Source organism: Homo sapiens, chromosome 16 (assembly GCF_000001405.40).
Source record: "Homo sapiens chromosome 16, GRCh38.p14 Primary Assembly".
NCBI lineage: Eukaryota > Metazoa > Chordata > Mammalia > Primates > Hominidae > Homo > Homo sapiens.
This window is the reverse complement of record NC_000016.10, coordinates 66,345,478-66,363,267: the sequence shown is the minus strand read 5'-3', so window position 1 is coordinate 66,363,267 and position 17,790 is coordinate 66,345,478.

Below are 17,790 nucleotides of genomic sequence, written 5' to 3'. Positions count from 1 at the left end.
TCTCTCTCCTTCCTCGCCTGTGCGCAGAGCCCTGGCAGAGCCACCCAGATCTCATTGTCTCTACACTCCACTCCCTCTTCTGAGCTCCCAGGGCACTTTATACAGACCTCATTCACAACCCTCCTCTCCTTTCCCACCGGGATTGTGTCCTATTTGGGTGCTTATCCCCAGCACCTGGTAATAGGTGAGTGCTCCCCAAATGTGAACTTGAAACTGTGCACTCATTAGAACCGGCAGTCAGCCCGCTGCTCCCCGGGTCAGAGAGACTGGGGGGAGAGTCGAGTGTTTTGTGTTCTAAGGCAGGTGATGGTCTGATGGCAGAGGGCTTGATGAGCCCATCTGCTCAGTTACGGGCAAAGGAAAAACCCTTTTGCCCAGCTGGCTGTGCTGTGCTGAGGGGCGGACACACCTCCAGGGAACATAAAATAGGGCTGCTCACCTGAGGTAGTCTCAGAAGGGGCTCAGAAGGAGGAAGAGCGGGAAGGAGGAGCAGGGAGGGGTCTCATCCTCAGCTGTGATTCTACAAGGAACAGAAAGCTTGTGATGAGAGCTGCAGGCCCAGCTGAGAACTCCTCCGAGCAGAAACTGGGCTAGGCTCACTTTGGGGTGCCTGGATCTGAGCTCAAGGTGGCCGTCAGGCAGGGAGGAAGAGCCCACTGTTTGAATGAATGAATGAATGAATGAATGAATGAATGCGTGAATAGTGAATGAACAAGCGGATGAAACACTGGTATGTTGAGGCAGACACGAGGTGCGGGGCTGGGTGTGTACCTGTGTTCTGTGGTATATTCTGATGGACAGTGGGTCCTTTTTCCTAAGGCTTCAAGGAGTCACCAAATCAGTCAATCAGGCAATCAATCAATCAACCAGTCTCTCAGTCCTGGTTGGTGCCCAGTTCTGCGCCAGCCTGGGAATGGGGATCCAGGGAATTAAAAGAGACAGTTCTGCTACAAGCTCTGAGGCTGGGCTGGAGTTAAAGTCACCAGCACTACCTGAGCCCCTCCTATGTGTCATCCCTGTCTCAGGCTCGGTCTCTTATTTCTCATACTTCACGGGGTCCTTGAGAGAGGGTTGAGGATCCGCCCGTTTTACAGAATTCAGTAACGAGCCCAGTGTGGCACTGCCCGGTTCACACCAGGCTTGTGTGTGTCTGCTGAACCTTGCTGAATACTCGAGATCCAATCTGAGGCTTCCCTCTTTGAGCCTTTCCCATGCTGTCCTCCCCCATGCTTTCCTTCCTCCTTCTGCAACCCAAATCTCCCAGCCCATCAGTGCTCAGATCAAACGTGCCGGCCCCCATGCAGCTTCCAGACTCCTATTCTGACAAGCATCTTATCCCCGCGAAGCCTTTGCCACATTCTGTCTATGCATTCCATCTCCATTTTCTCATGTAATGATGCTTTGCAATAGCCCTGAAAGATGTAAGTGCTATTTGTATTCCCATTTCCCTGATGAAAGAGCTGAGGCTCAGAGAGGCTGAGTAACTTGCTCAAGGTCACACAGTGTCTGAGTAGCAGAGCCAGGATTTCAACCCTTATATTCCTGTTTATATCCCAGTTCAATGCTCATTCTATAGCACCACCCTTCTTCTGATAACTTGCCATTGTTCACCAATGTTTTATGTTCCTTTGTTATTTAAAAAATACATTTGGTGCTCAGGCTTTTCCTAGCCCTGTGCTAGGCATGGAGACGTGGAGGTGACTTGGGCTGGGTCCTTGTCTTTGATGTGCCCCAGTCTGGTGGGAGAGACAGACACCAAGACATGCATGAACCACACTGGGTGGGGCTGGGTTGGTGACAGAGGTGTGCACCCTGAGATGAGGGTGCCCGGAGGAGGTGGCCTGGGAGCTGCCGGAGGACTGGGTCCCCAAGCTGATCTGAAAGCATGAGCAGGAGGTCACCAAAGGCGGAGCACGGGAAGGGCTCTGCAGACAGCAGAATTGGCAGGGTCAAAGGCAAGGAGGCCTCTTAGGGAAGGAGAAGACATTCCAAGGGGTAGGGGAGCACTGAGGTGCTGAGAGGGGAAGAGGGACTGGCTGGGGAGGAGGCCAGGTGGTAGAGGGCCTGTCACACCACACTGAGGAGCTCAGGCAGGGCACCGCTGGGGGCCTCATGCAGGCCAGGGACCCAAGGATCCCTGGATTTTAGGAGAGGCGCCCCCTGTCCAGTGCACCGTGTCCCCATGCAGCTGCCTGCTGGCGGGGCCACCTCCTGTGGGCTGTGGTCAGGCCAGGGAGAGGCCACTGGCTGGGGAACCGCAAGGGATGGCGGCTCAGGATGCAGCCACTGGAGCTGGGTGAGGAAAAGGCTAAGTGCAGCCTCTCTTTGGCCAGGAAAGGCCGATTGAACGGGGTTTGAATTCCCGACAGTGAGAACAATACCTTGCCGCAGCCCCTGGGAGGGAGGAGGCTGCCCAGAGCACTTCCCCAGATGTTTCTCACTTTTTTCTCACAACATCCTGAAAAGGCTGTTACGGAAGTGGGGCTCCCAGGGGTGGAGAGAAAGTGGTGCCCTGTGGTTACATGCTGGGGCACATCTGCTACTTATGGTCTGGCTGATCCTGGACCAGCCACATGGCCTTTGGTGCCTCAGTTTTCCCTTCTGTAAAATGGGAATGATGGCGTGCCTTCCTCCCAGGGTTGCTGAAAGGACTAACTGAGAAGATGCATGTAAAGTGCATAGAATAGTCTCTGGTATACAGTAGGTGCTCAATGCATGTTTGTCATGACAGTGATGCCACAGACACGTTAATGGTGGGGGCACCTGTGAGTGTGTGAGGACGACCGTGTATACATGTGAGTGTGTTAGCATGGGCATGGCATGTGCACGGTGTTTGGCAACCATGTGGCTACACATAAGTATGTAAGAACACGCATGGAGTGTGTAAGGCATCCACATGGATGTGACCACATGTGCTGTGTTCGTGGTGCATGAGTGGGCTGAGAGGTGCAGTCAGGTTGAGGCCTTGGGCAGCATCCTCCTCCTCCGTTGTCTGGAGCCATTGGTCACCCCACTGCCCAAGCCTTCTGTGTATCCGTCACATGCAGAAGCCCAGAGAGGGCAAGGCCTTCCTTGGGGTGGCCCAGTGAGCCAGGCAGGGCAGGGTGGGACCAAGGGCCCTGCCTTGTTGTCTGGAGGGCAGGCCTGAGTCTGGAGGAAACCTTGTCCAGCGGAAGCCAGGGCTTCCTGTTTCTAGACCCTACATTCCTTGTGCTCTCCACCGAAGCGTCCTGGAAAACAATAGGTTGGAGGCTGCACCATCTGTGGGGCAGGAAGGTGGATCAATCCCTCCCACCTCTTGATGGGGCAAGCAGACACGGCTCTGGCACCAGCCCTCAGCTGGGCAGTGTGGCAGCAGGCCCAGAACCAGGCAAGCCCAGGCCATCTGCCTCCTGCCTGTCTGGGTCTCTTCTCCAGGCCATCTCCACACCCCTCAGTGCACACTGCACTCTGTGGCCTGAGACGAGTCCCCTGGGCAAAATCCAGCTAGGGGAGGAGGCGTCTGAGCTGGTCCCGGGGAAGGAAGCTACTAGGAAAAACTCAAGTCCGATTGGATGGGACTGACTGCACAGGCTGGTGGAGACCTCGAGGATCCTCCAGCTTCACCCACCTGCCATGCCACTGAGAACCAAGAGCGAATACAGAGAGGTTCCGACCAGCCAAAAGAAGGAATCTTTCCAGCCTCTGTGCTAAAGCTCAGAGACATGCCTGTTAACTCTTGGTTTATGTACAGTCCTAACAAGTCAGGTTCTCCAGGGAAGAGGGGCACAGTGGTAAGAGCAGTGGGCTTGGAACCAGAAGCCCCAGTTTTCTGATCCCATGCTCTGCCGCTGACTGCTCACCAGTGCTTTTTGTCTCAGTTTTCTCCTTTGTGAAAAGGTCGTACCTTGCCATGTTCTTCTGAACTCACAGGCAGCCGGAGTGGGTCACATGAGTAACATTTCTCCAAGTGCTTTGTAAACTTGGATGCCTCTTCCATTCTGAGAGAGGGCACAGAAGCTCTGGGCTCCACCCCTGCGTCTTGCCCCATGCAGCGCTTCCATTCGGCTGTTCCTAAGTTGTATCCTTTGTAATACATGAGTAATCAAAAGTAAAGCCCTTCTCTGGGTTCTATGAGTCATTCTAACAAATTATCGAATCCGAAGGAGGGCTGCGGGCAACCCCCGAAGTTGTAGTTGGGCAGGCAGAAGCGTGGCTCACTTGGTGACCCTGCTTGTGGCTAGTGTCTAAGCCTTTATTAACCTGTGAAGTCTGCACTAACTCTGGGTAGTTAGGCTCAGAAATGGCTTGAATTGTTGGAAACCCAAGTGGTGTTGGAGAACTGGACAATTGGTTGTTGTTAGGAAAAACCCACACAGCTTCCTTTGCGTCAGGCATGGAGCCTAGTTGTTTTTTTTTTTTTTTTTTTTTTTTGTGCTGGGCAGTTGTTGAGGGTGATAGGGTCTTGCTCTGTTGCCCAGGCTGGAGTGCAGTGGTGCAATCATGGGTCACTGCAGCCTCAACCTCCTGGGCTCAAGTGATCCTCCTGCCTCAGCCTCCTGAGTAGCTGGGACTACAGGCACGTACCACCAAGCCCGGATAATTAAAAAAATTTTTTTTGTAGAGATGGGGCCTCACTGTGTTGCCCAGACTGGTCTTGAACTCCTGGACTCAAGCAACCTAGTGTTCTATATGCATCAGCTTACCCACTGTCTCTCTTTCTTTGCAAGACAGTGGTTCTCAAAGTGTGGCCTCAACCAGCAGCATCAGCAAATCCTGGGGTACCACCCCAGACCTGCCGAATCAGAAGATCTGGGGGTGGGACCCAGCAATCTGTGTTACTAAGAGATTCCAGTGATTCTGATGCATGCCCAAGCTTGAGAACTGCTGCCCTGGAGCAGAGATCCTCACTTCAGGCTGTGCCCTGGAACTGCCTGGCCAGCTCCCCTCCCCACATCCAAGTAGTATCTGGGGAAGGCACATGTAGAGATTCTGATTTAATTGGCCTGGTGGGGGCTGGACTTCACTATTTTATTTTTTTTGAGACAGAGTCTTGCTCTGTCGCCCAGGCTGGAGTGCAGTGGCACGATCTCGGCTCACTGCAACCTCTGCCTCCCAGGTTCAAGCGATTCTCCTGCCTCAGCCTCCCGAGTAGCTGGGCTTACAGGTGTGCACCACCACACCCTGCTAATTTTTTGTATTTTTAGTAGAGACGGGGGTCTCACTATGCTGGCCAGGCTGGTCTCGAACTCCTGACCTCAAGTGATCCCACCCACCTTGGCCTCCCAAAGTGCTGGGATTACAGGCGTGAGCCACTGTACCTGGCTGACTTCACTATTTTGTAAAGCTCCCCAGGAGGTTAATATGCTCCCAGGTCTTCCAGCATTACCTTAGGAGGTAGCTACCTCTCTTAGCTCCATTTTGCAGGTGCATAGGTTCTGGGAGATTAAAGGGCGTGCCCAAGTTATATAGCCATGTAAAGGGATGGGGAATTCTAAATCCCTGCCTTTCCACTTCCCCTCCTTCCTCCCATTCATTGCTTTTTGCTTTATTTAGAACTGTGTGGTTTCCCAAGCAACTTTCTTTGGAAAATTAAACAATTCCTGATGTCGCCATCTAGTGGCTAGCGATGAGAACAGATGAGCCTCTTCTGGACTTGGCAAGACGGGGCTCCTGGAGGACACACGTGGGAAGAGGAAAGGCCATCATTCATAGTTGCTCAGGCAGATGCTTTTGGGACACTTGGGTTCATTTTCCCAAAAGGTGTCCTTTCAGAAGGACAGTGGAATGAAGATGGGTTTCGTGTTTAAGAGCTATTGGGAGTTCACTCATGAACCCCAGGAGAAGCATGAGGTGTGGTCCCCAGGCAGGGGGAGGCACAGAGGGATCCGGGATGAGGGGGATTCACCTGGGCAGGAGAGCTTGACCTTCCTGCAGGGGCTGGCTCACCTTTGCTTGGGCACTGACTCATTCCACCATCAGCCACTGTGGGCCAGGCCCGAGGCTGCACTCGCCTTCAGACATCAGGGGAGAAGCACAGAATATTCCAGGTGCTCAGTCCTTCGTGATCCAAGCTGGTCTGTTCTTGGCCATGGGCAGAAGCTCCTGTGGAGGCTGATGGGGCGAGGAGAGGGTCTTGCCTCCAACTGGGGGAACTGAGGTGGCTGTGGGGGAGGGGGACAGCTTCTTGGAGCCTGTGCCCAGGGTCTAAATAGGAGCCCATAGGTATGACTCAAATCCAATGGCTGCTCCCCACCCTGCTGGCTCTTGTGGGGCCAGACAAGAGGCGCCAGAGGATGTCTCAGGACTGATGTGCTTGGGGTTCTCACCATGGCAGGGCACGGAGAGAAGTAAAGCTGTCTGAGAAAGGAGGGAGTGACTGACTACGCTCAGGGCACTCACAGGGTGGAATTCTTTTGTAAAAATAAATCTCAGTGGACAAAAGAGATTTAAGGGCTTGTACTATTGGAAGGTAAAGCCTCTAGCCTGGAAGCTTACCATTAGATGTCGTGTCTTTGCTTCTTCATGTAAACGCTGTTTTAGCATCTGTTGTGTATCAATCTCATCTGATTGCAGCCTCTTTTATTCCCAAACACATACTCACATCTCATGGGAGGCAAAAATTTCCAAGGAATACAGTTTGGGACACATTGGCCCCAAGGGAGGTCTCCAGTGGTATGCCACAAGATTCTATTCCAGGCCCATCTAGACTAGCATTCTTTTAAAAAATTAATGAATGAATTAATTATTGAGACAGTCTTGCAATGTCACCCAGGCTGGAGTGCAGCGGTGTGATCATGGCTCACTGCAGCCTCAACCTCCTGGGCTTATGGCAGCCTTGACCTCTCAGGATCAAGCTGTTGTCCCACTTCAGCCTCCTGAGTAGCTGGTACGAGAGGTGTGCACCACCATGCTCAGCTAACTCTTAAATTTTTTGTAGAGACAGGGTCTCTCTATGTTGCCCAGGCTAGTCTCAAACTCCTGACCTCAGCTGATTCTCCCACCCCAGCTTCCTAGTGTTGAGATTACAGGTGTAAGCCATTGTGCCTGGTCTGGACCAGCATTCTTTATCATCAACTTAGATGAAGACGATTGTCTACTGATCCAATCAATGGGCTCTTTAAACCCTGATGGGATGGAGGATGGGCTGGACAACAGGGTCAGGATCCAGAGGTCTTGTCAGGGTGAGGAAATGATTCAAAATATCAATAGGAAACATTACAAGGATGAGTTGAGGGCCCTGTATTTGGGATTGGAAAAAAAAAGTCAAAAGCAGCTGCCCAAAGATGGGAGACAAATATGAGAGAAACTGAGGACCACTTGGTCAATGGTTGGGATAATAATAGTATTAATAAAATAATGATAGCTGACATGGACGACCTTATTTGACCTTCACAACAATGCATGAAATAGGTATTATTATTGATCCCTATTTGACAGATGGGAAAATTGAGGCTCCTAGAGGTTAAATAACTCAGAACCTCCCTCAGGGCCTGCTGGTACCATGTTCATTCCTTTCAGGGCAAGCAGAGAATGTACAGGAAACAACTATGGGAAAGTTTAACCTAAAATAGAACAGGGTTGGGCGCGGTGGCTTACGCCTGTCATCCCAGCACTTTGGGAGGCCGAGGTGGGCGGATCACCTGAGGTCAGCAGTCCGAGACCAGCCTGGCCAAAATGGTGAAACCCTATCTCTACTAAAAATACAAAAATGAACCAGGTGTGGTGGCAGGCACCTGTAATCCCAGCCACTCGGGAGGCAGAGGCAGGAGATTTGCTTGAACCTGGGAGATGGAGGTTGCAGTGAGCTGAGATCGCACCACTGCACTCCAGCCTGGGTGACTGAGCGAGACTCTGTCTCAGAAAAAAAAAAAAAAAAAAAAGAAAAAGAAAAAGAAAAAAAAGTAGAATAGGAAGCCATGGAGGTAGTGAGCTCCCCATCCTTAGGGGATGTTCAAGTGTAGGCTGGAAAACACTGGCAGTGCTGTTGTGGTAAGGATCTCAGCAACAGATAGGGTCTAGAAAGAAATAATATTTAAGGTCCCTCTTCCCTCTGCAATTCTATAATTCTGCTCTAGCAATTTATTTCTTTAAAGTCAAGTTTATGATAAGGGAGGACTATATTTTTTCCACATGGAATGTATGCTTTATTTATAATACTTTGGGGTTTCTTCTATGACAAATATGCTCACTATATTTCTGAGTTCTAGGACTTGTGACAAATTTTACATGACCATTTAGGGTTTACATTTTCAGCTGATTATTAAGACATTTATAGTTTTTGCACATTTATATTTATGACATTGGGTTGGTCGTATTTATGATGTACTGGACGCCTAGCCATTGGTCAGGAAGCCTGGCTGAATATCTTAACATTGTTTCTGCGGGAAAACGTGTCTTGCTTTACGGTAATTCATTTTATGATGTGGATTCAGAAACTCAGTGAATTTACTCTGGGAGAAAAAACTCAACAGCTACGCAATTTGGGGAAGTCTCGTAGATTTAGAGGCAGATGACCTCGAGTTAGCTATGTGGCTTGGGTGAGTTTCTCAACACTTCTGTGCCTCAGTTTCTGTATTTAGTAATCTGAGCTAGGGAGTGGGAGGGAGGACACACATACCCTCCCCAACATTGCTGAGGTGGTGGTTTCTGTTTTGCTCTTACTGGGCACATGGGAGGGACTCAGCCCTGAACCTTCCCTCTCTCTTGTCCTCCTTGGATTTGCTGGTGGTACCTTGGGAACCATGTGCCTTGAAGGCTGCTTTCCCAGAGGGGCTCCAGCTTTTGGGAGGATTCTTAGGAATCCTTCCCAGGAATCTTGCCAGGCAGCATGTTTTCAGCACGTTAGAATTTTGCTCTGGGCTCCAAACTAAACTTGTTTCACCTTAAATAAAAGAAATCAATCCTCACAGCTGAGCTGTGCTACAACATTGATTTAGCATACATTTTGACATAGCCTGGCTAATAAATAAGCAGAAAGGCAATAAACATTAGGGAGAATTATCTGTTAGGGAATTGGGGTGGGCAGCTGGGGAATGGAGTGGTGGTGGTGAATTCCCCCCTGCCCTCCGCCTCCTTCTCTGCTTTCATCCTGAGACCCTCATCAATTGTGGGGTGAGCAGCAGCAGCAACAGCAGCAGCAGCAGAGATTCCAGTGGCGCTGCCTTGGCAGGTGGTGGATTTGGGGAAGTGGAGAGGGTCTGGCGGCCTCCCTCAGTGGGACTCTTGGTTCTCAGACCTGGCTGGCAGAGCGAGGAGACCTGCCTCTCTCTGGCCTTTGGTGCCCACCTGTGAATCCCAGCCCCTGAGCTGTGTGATCATGGGTATGTGAATTCACCTCTCTGCACCTTGGTTTTCTCACCTGGAAAACTGGGAACACTTTCGGCAGGCGCTGAGTGAGATGCAGGGACAATGTCATCCATAGTCAGCGTGTTAATACACGTCAGCCATGGCTGTCCCACCGTGGAGGTTAACGAAGAAGCTGTCTGCCAGATGTCCAGCACCTAGTAGGCACACTGTAAGCAGCCAGTGTTACTATTCTGGGAGGTGGGTTAATCAGCTTTTGGGGGCCCTGCCCTCAAGTCTTGGGTCCTTCCCCTTCCTCACCATGCTTGTGTCCTGCTGTGGCCCTGGGAACATCTATTGTCACTTTCCCAATTCCCAGGCTCAGAGTTCAGTTGACTTCTACTGGACGTACTCCCTCCCCAGCGCCCCCCGCCACTGTTGGCCTCTCTGGGCTCTGTGGGCACACTGGGGTCTCCAGCGTCTCTTCTTGCGTAATTGCATTTGATTTTCGTAGTGTGTTAGTGACTTAGTTATCGGTTAACAGGAACCTCAAATAAATAACTCTCTGCCCCATCTGCTTGCTGGTAGGTGATGAGGAAGAAACAAATGTGAATTTGAAAAGTGATACATTTCCCCCAACATGATTTCTGTCTCCGGTCATAAATGTCAGATAAATGAATCTGTTTTGTGAAGAATTAGCATATTGGTTCAGGGAAGCATCTGCTGGGCTGTGAATCACGAAGCCTTGGAACACTCCCTGGCTCTCCCCTGCTTGCTGCGCGGTGCCTGCAGGCGCTGCCTCCCTGCTTGAGTACTGGGAGCCTTGGCAGAAGGGAATGGGGCAACCTCTGCCATCCAGCACTTCCCCTCTCCACCAAACCCAGGCCCTCCCAGGTGCTGTGCCTGTTGGTGCAGATGACTTTGGTCCCCCAGTGTGACCTTCCCCAGAACCCTGACCACAGCCACCCACCCCACCCCTGGCTTCAGAACAAGGCAAGGTGAAGCTGGCATTTTAGCTCCATGGTTCCTGGCTGTGTGACGTTGGGTGAATTGCTTCCACTCTCTGAGCCTCAGTTTTCTCAGCTATAAAGGGGAATAGTAATGCCCAGGACCAATGTATGCATTTTAGGCACAGGAAACACAGTTCCTAGGACCCAAGCTACTTTTAAGGGATGCGGTTGGCAGAATAATGGCCCGTGAAGAGGTCCGCATCTCAATCTCTGGAAACTGACAATGTTATGCCACATGGCAAATGGGAATGAAGGCTGTATGTGGAATTAAGGTTGCTGATTAGATGAGCTTAAATAGAGAGATTTTCCTGGGATGCCCAAAGTGATTACAAGGGTCCTAGAATGTGGAAGAGGGAGACGGAGACTGAGTATCACAGTAATGTCAGAATGTAATGTAATGTAAGTAATGTGTAAGAAGAGGGAGGTAAGAATGTGTGTAATGTAAAGAGGGAGGTAAGAATGTGTGTAATGTAAAGAGGGAGGTAAGAATGTGTGTAATGTAAGTAATGTGTAGGAAGAGGGAGGAAAGGTCCACAAGCCAAGGAATGTGGCAGGAAAAGGCAAGGAAGTGGATTCTCCCATAGAGCATCCTGAAAGGCATGCAGCCCTGCCAACACCTTGGTTTTAGCCTAGGGACACCCATTGCGGACTTCTCACCTCCAGAATTATGAAGTCATACATCTGCATTGTTTTAAGCCACTAAATTTATGGTAGCTTGTCATAGCAGCAAGAAGAAACTAATACAGGCTGGGTGCAGTGGCAAACAGCAGGACCTTGGGAGCCTGAGGCAGTAGGATCACTTGAGGCCAGGTCCAGCATGGGCAACATAGTGAGACCCCCATCTCTAAAAAAGCTTTAAACAATTAGCCCAACAGGATGGCATGTGCCTGTAGTCCCAGCTACTAGATAGGCTGAGGCAGGAGGATCACTTGAGCCCAGGAGTTCGAGGTTACAGTGAGCTATGATTGTGTCACTGCACTCCAGCCTGGGCAACATTGCGAGACTCTGTCTCTAAAAAACAAAAATATAAATAAAAACTGAAAAAAAAAAAAAGTGAATACAGGGACATACAAAAATATTCTAATTTATTTTAAAATCAGAAGAAAAAAATAAATATAAGCCAGGCTTAGTTGTATATGGGTTTATACCAAAAAGCATAAAGTATAATCTTTATTTTTTAATTTAATTTAATATTTTTGAGATGGAGTCTCTCTTTGTCTCCCACGCTGGAGTGCAGTGGTGTGGTCTCAGCTCGCTGCAACCTCCGCCTCCCAGGTTCAAGTGAGTCTCCTGCCTCAGCCTCCCCAGTAGATGGGATTATAGGTGCATGCTATCATGCCAAGCTAAGTTTTGTCTTTTTAGTAGAGATGGGTTTCACCATGTTAGCCAGGCTGGTCTTGAACTCCTGACCTCAAGTGATCCACCTGCCTGGGCTTCCTAAAGTGCTGGGATTACTGGTGTGAGCTACTGCGCTCAGCAGATAAAGTATAATCTTTGTTTTAGGGAGGAAGGGGCCCACGAAGGCAAAAGTGCCGAGGGCTCATGGTCCATGCAGCCATCATGCATCTTGCCTTGCAACCCGCAATGGGCTTAAAGGAGAGGGTGTTGGCAAGGCACCTGCTAGGATGCACGGATCACACACCAGGAGTCAGAAATGGGGGCAGCTGTTGTTTTGTGTTGTGGTCAGTTTCCCTTCCAAGTACTAAGGCTCCCCGTTGGGGGAATGCCTTGACCTAAAGCTTTGCACCCCACTGCTGGGACCCTTTATCTCCTGGCAGGACCTAACTGACCCAAAGGTCAGGTGGAGGGCCAACCCTGGCTTGCTGTGTGCCTACTGGGGGGGCCTTCCTCCTGGTCCCCCTTGCCTGCATCCATTGCTGAGTGTCCCACAATAACACAATTGGCTGAGCACCTACTCTGTTCTTGGACTGGAGGGTGGGAGCCTGAAATCTCATCCAGTGCTCCCTCTGGAATAGTAGCATCTTTGATTTTTCAAAGCCACACAGTGAGGCAGATACTGATCCACCATCCCACCAGAGTCTGTGTGACTCCATCCCACTCAGCAGGGCTCCTCTGTCTCCTGATGGCGAGAGTCACCTAGGAACTTGTAAAAACCACAGTGCTGCAGCCCCAGCCAGCCCCGCTGAACCTGAACCTCCTGGGAGGGGCCGCGAGGCTGCCATATGGTTACCAGGGCTCCAGGTGAGTTCTGTCCTCAGTAGGGAAGACCCTACTGCACCCTACTGCACAGGGTGCATGCTCACTTGCAACAAGGGAAGGGGACAAACAGAGAGCATGAACATGTGAACTTGGTATGTTCTATGTGCCAGGTGTGGGGCTGGGGAGGGCTACCTTGTGTTACCACGGCCATCTTTCTAGGTGAAAACAACCCCATTTTAGAGATGGGAAGACTGAGGCTCAGGGAGGCAGCATGAAAACGCTGAACCATGGAGGTTGAGGCAGGGTTAGGTGGAGTGCAGAGTCCTGGGGTTGCTGGAGCTGAACCAGGGCATGCGGCCACTCTGCAGGAGTGGTGGCTCGAGCCAGGGTATCCCCTGGCTCGGTTTCTCTTCCTGACCCTGACACTGATGCTTGGTGTAACTTTGAGTCCATCCTTTCTTCTCTGGACCACATTCCCTTGTATTATGAAGCCATTTGGCTTGGTGGTAAGATTTCCCACCTCCGGAACCTTGTACGTGCTGTTCCCTCCGCCTGCAATGCTCTTCTCCCCACTTCTTTTTAAAATGACTTTGACTGACAAATCATAATTATATACATTTATGGAGTACAGTGTGATGTTTTCATACATGTATACAATGTGAAATAATTAAATCAAGTGAATTAACATATCCCTCACTTCATTTGCCTTTTTTTTTTTTTTTTGTGGTGAGATGTTTGAAACTTACTGTCTTAATTATTGAAATACAGTCACAAGTCACCTAACGACAGGGTGACATTCTGAGAAGTGCATTGTTAGGTAATTTCATTGTTGTGTGAACATCATGGAGTGAACTCACACAAACCTAGATGATACAGCCTACTACACACTTAGGCTATATGGTAGAGCCTATTGCTCCTAGACTACAAACCTGTACAACATGCTTCTGTAGTGAATGGTAAGTATTTGTAAATCTAAACATATCTAAACATAGGAAAGGTACAGTAAAAATATGGTATAAAAGATAAAAAATAGTACACCTATATACAGCAGCTCCATTACAATCTTTTGGGACCCCCATCATATACGTGGTCCACTGCTGACCAAAATGTTGTTATTCACATGACCGTATATGACATATATGATTGACAAGAGCCACCCTGTTGTGCAGTAGATCTCAAAACTTATTCCTCCTCTCTCTGTGACACTTTGTATTTTTGATTTTTTTTTGAGATGGAGTTTCCCTCTTGTTGCCCAGGCTGGAGTGCAATGGTGTGATCTTGGCTCACTGCAACCTCCGCCTCGTGGGTTCAAGCAATTCTCCTGCCTCAACCTCCTGAGTAGCTGGGATTACAGGCGTGCACCACCACACCCAAATGATTTTTGGATTTTTAGTAGAGACGGGGTTTCACCATGTTGGCCAGGCTGGTCTTGAACTCCTGATCTCAGGTGATGCACCTACCTCGGCCTCCCAAAGTTCTGGGATTACAGGTGTGAGCCACCAAACCTGGCTGACACTTTGTAACTTTTAATCAACAGCTCCACATTCCCTCCTCCAACTCTCCCCACTAGCCCCTGGTAACCACTATTCTATTCTCTACTTCTGTGAATTCAACTTTTTTTTAGATTCCACATGTAGATGAGATCATGTGGAATTTGTCTTTCAGAGCTTGGCTTATTTCACTTAGCATAATGTCCTCCAGGTTCATCTACATTGCCGGAAATGACAGGATTTTCTGCTTTTTAAAGGCTGAATAGTGTTCCATTTGTGTATGTATGTCACATTTTCTTTATTCATTCATCCATGGGATGGGCACTTAGGTTGATTCTGTATATTGGCTGTTGTAATAATGCTGTAACGAACACAGGACTGCAGGTATCCCTTTAACGATTTTATTTCAGTTCCTCTGGGTATATATGGAGAAGCGAGATTGTTGGATCATATGGTAGTTCTCGTTTTAGTTTTTCGAGGGACTCCCATACTGTTTTCTATGATGGCTGTGCCAATTTACATTCCCATCAACAGTGCACAAGGCTTCCCCTTTCTGCACATCCTCGCCAACGCTTGTCTTTTATTTTCGTGTTAATGGCCATTCTAACAGGTGAGGGGTGGCATCTCATTGCGGTTTTAATTTGCATTTCCCTAATGATTAGTGACGCTGAGTATTTTTCACGAACCTGTTGGCATTTGTACGTCTTCTTTTGAGAAATGTCTGTTCAGCTTCCCCACTTCTTGCGCAGCCAGCTCCTTCTCACTCTTCGGGTTTCTGCTCCAATGTGCTTTCCTCTTCTGCCTTCCCAACCAGACCTTACCCTGCCCCGCTCAGCCCCCTTCTCAGCCTCTGGTTTGGCCTTCGGAGCGCTTACCACCATTTGTAGTTCTGTTTGTGTCTGCCTCTGTGTTTCCTGCCTGTCTCCCATCTGGGTTGTGAGCCCCACAAGGTCAGGAACCCTGCATCTGCTTTACTGTCTTTGGTGTCCAGTGCCCAGCCCTGCCTCAGGCCCACGGTGGGTTGAATAAATGAGTAAATGAATGAATGAATGAATAAATGAATGAATGAGTCAATGAGTGTTGTCTGTGCCAGTTGGCAAGACACTTGGTCTGGCCCCACTGGGGGAGACGTGATCTGGGCTACCCAGGAGTCCTTGCTCCTTCATTGGACATGGCTCCTGGAAGCAGCACAGCCCTCTGGGGTGGGACACCCCAGCCGAAAGCAGGTGGGGGGAAATGGGGGAAAGCAGGTAGGGGACAATGGGTCTCCTGGGCAGCTCAATGGAAGGGTTAGAGTGACAAGAGTGTGGGTGGGAGAGTAACATCTCCTTGAGGCCCCATGTATTGGGCATCCTTCTGAGGTCTTGCCCATGCATAAGCTCATGCTCCCCGCTTTCTCACTTGTCCTTCTTATCCATTCAGCAACAGTTCCTGAGACGTTTTGCTTCTAATATCTCTTGAGCCCATGCCTCCCTCTTCATTCACTGCCTCCACTCTCCTAGCTACAGCCTCTCTCTATGGAATGAGCCACTGCAGGGGCCAAGCTTAGCTGCCCTCCAACTCCCTACCTCCAGTCCAGATTCCAGCCTGGTTGTTATGGTGATCTGTCCCCTATGCAAATCTGGGGACATCACTTCTTCTTTTTCCTTCCTTCCTTCCTTCCTTCCTTCCTTCCTTCCTTCCTTCCTTCCTTCCTTCCTTCCTCCCTCCCTCCCTCCCTCCCTCCCTCTCTCTCTCTCTGTTTCTTTCTTTTGATGGAGTCTACCTCTGTCGCCCAGGCTGGAGTGCAGTGGTGCAATTTCCGCTCACTGCAACCTCCGCCTCCCAGGTCCAAGCGATTCTCCTGCCTCAGCTTCCCAAGTAGTGGGGACTACAGGTCTGTGCCATCATGCCTGGCTAATATTTGTATTCTTAGTAGAGATGGGGTTTCACCATGTTGGCCAGGCTGGTCTCGAACTCCTGACCTCAGGTGACCCACCTGCCTTGGTCTCCCAAAGTGCTGGGATTACAAGTGTGAGCCACTGCACCCAGCCTGGGCACATCACTTTCAACACCCTTCCACGAGTGGAAGCCTTTCTCCACTGCCTTCAGGACCAAGGAGTACCCACCTCCTTGTGAGCCCAGTACCCAGCAGATGGTGGATTAGTACTTGTTGGATGAATGAGTGTAGAGATCTCAATGGGCCTTGCCTGCAGTCTCCATTTGCATCCGCCCCCCAGAAAGAACAAACTGAGTAAATTCTGGAAATCTGTGTCCCTCTCCCACTTCATGTATCAGAGAATGGCATGATGAGGAGGCAGAAAGGAACCTGAGAGGCTGTCAAGGCCAAGAGACTGATTTTACAAATGGGTCAACCAAGGCTCGGAGGTGGGTGTGACTGTCCCGGGTCAGGAGCAGAGCTGGGAGGGAGCACTGGGATGGGTGTCAAGAGACTGGATTCTAGTTCTGGCTTTCACACTGACTGGCTGTGCAACTCTGCGAGGAAGATCACTGCCCATTCTGGGCTCAGCCTTCACATCTGCAAAATGGAGCAGCTGAGCTTCGCGATGCCCTCCCTTCAGCTCTGACAGTCTGAGATGTGGGGACTGCATAGAATATCCTTACCTCCTGTGTGTTTTCTGGGTGCTGAGAATGTCCCAGGTATTCTCAGAGTCTAACCACGGGACTGGATATTCTTTCAGAGAACCTAGGTATTTTCGGCTTTCTTCCCCCACATGAGGAGTGGTCAGGAAGGATCAGAGGGAGGACCCTGCCCCACCTATCTCTCCTCACTGTGGGTTTCTACTCAGGCCCCACAGCACAGCCCCATCAGGGCTCTCTGGAGGGGCTGGGGGAGTGGAGCACCTTTTTGACTGCTGTTGTCTAGGAGGTTTGAACTGAGACTGGGTGTGCTGTGGAGGACTTGTGTTTCACCTGGGGCGGCCAGGAGGTGGCTCTGGTATCTGCTTTGTCTGTCCAGGGCTCTGGACAGAGGGATGTGTTTGTTTCCTGGGATGCCATCATTGCTGTCCTCCACCCAGACTGTCCCCTGTGGGCCACCTTTTAGCACCTGTCTCTTGTTGCCTCATCATTCTGCTGGCACATGTGTTCACCGGCTTTCAGTCAGTCTGTGAGGCTGCTTGTGTGCCTCTGAACAGCCTTCATGGGTGCTTGTCTTTGGAGCTTGGAGATTTATTAGAGCTAAAACTGGAAGGCCACGACTTCAGAGAAACCTCTTTTCATTAATTAAGTTGGGGGACACTCCTGGCTGTCTTTGTGAAAGGCTTTGGTTGTGGGCATTGTTCGTCTGTATTAACGAACCTGTGTGTCCTTGCTTTTAAAAAAAATTCTTCTTTTCTTTTTAGAGACAGAGTGTCACCATGTTGGCCAGTCTGGTCTCAAACTCCTGGCCTCAAGTGATCCTCCTGCCTTGGTTTCTGCCAAGTGCTGGGATTACAGGTGTGAGCCATCGCACCTGGCTCCTGTGTGTCCTTGAGTGTGTTTATCTTTTATATGTGTGAGTGTGTGCCAGCCAGATGTGTGCCCCTGAGCGTAAACATGTGTTTACATGTTTGTTGCATCAAGAAATTTCTTCCAGGCTATGTTTTTTTTTTTTTGTTGTTGTTGTTTTAAAAGGATCCCTCCTGCTCCCTTCTCTGTCCATTCTGGGCTCTTGGCTGACAAGAGCTAGTGGCCCATGGAAATGCTCCTCCTGTGGATGGAAAAGAAGAGTGCAGGCCACACCTTGGAGCCTTATTCTGCCTTTGACCTTGGTATGGTTGTGGGCAGAATGGCATCTCAGCACTTACCATGTGACAAGCCATCGGGGCAGAGGCCTGAAGAGGGGTCGAGCTATGCTTGGGAGGAGTAGGACAAGGGATCTTTCC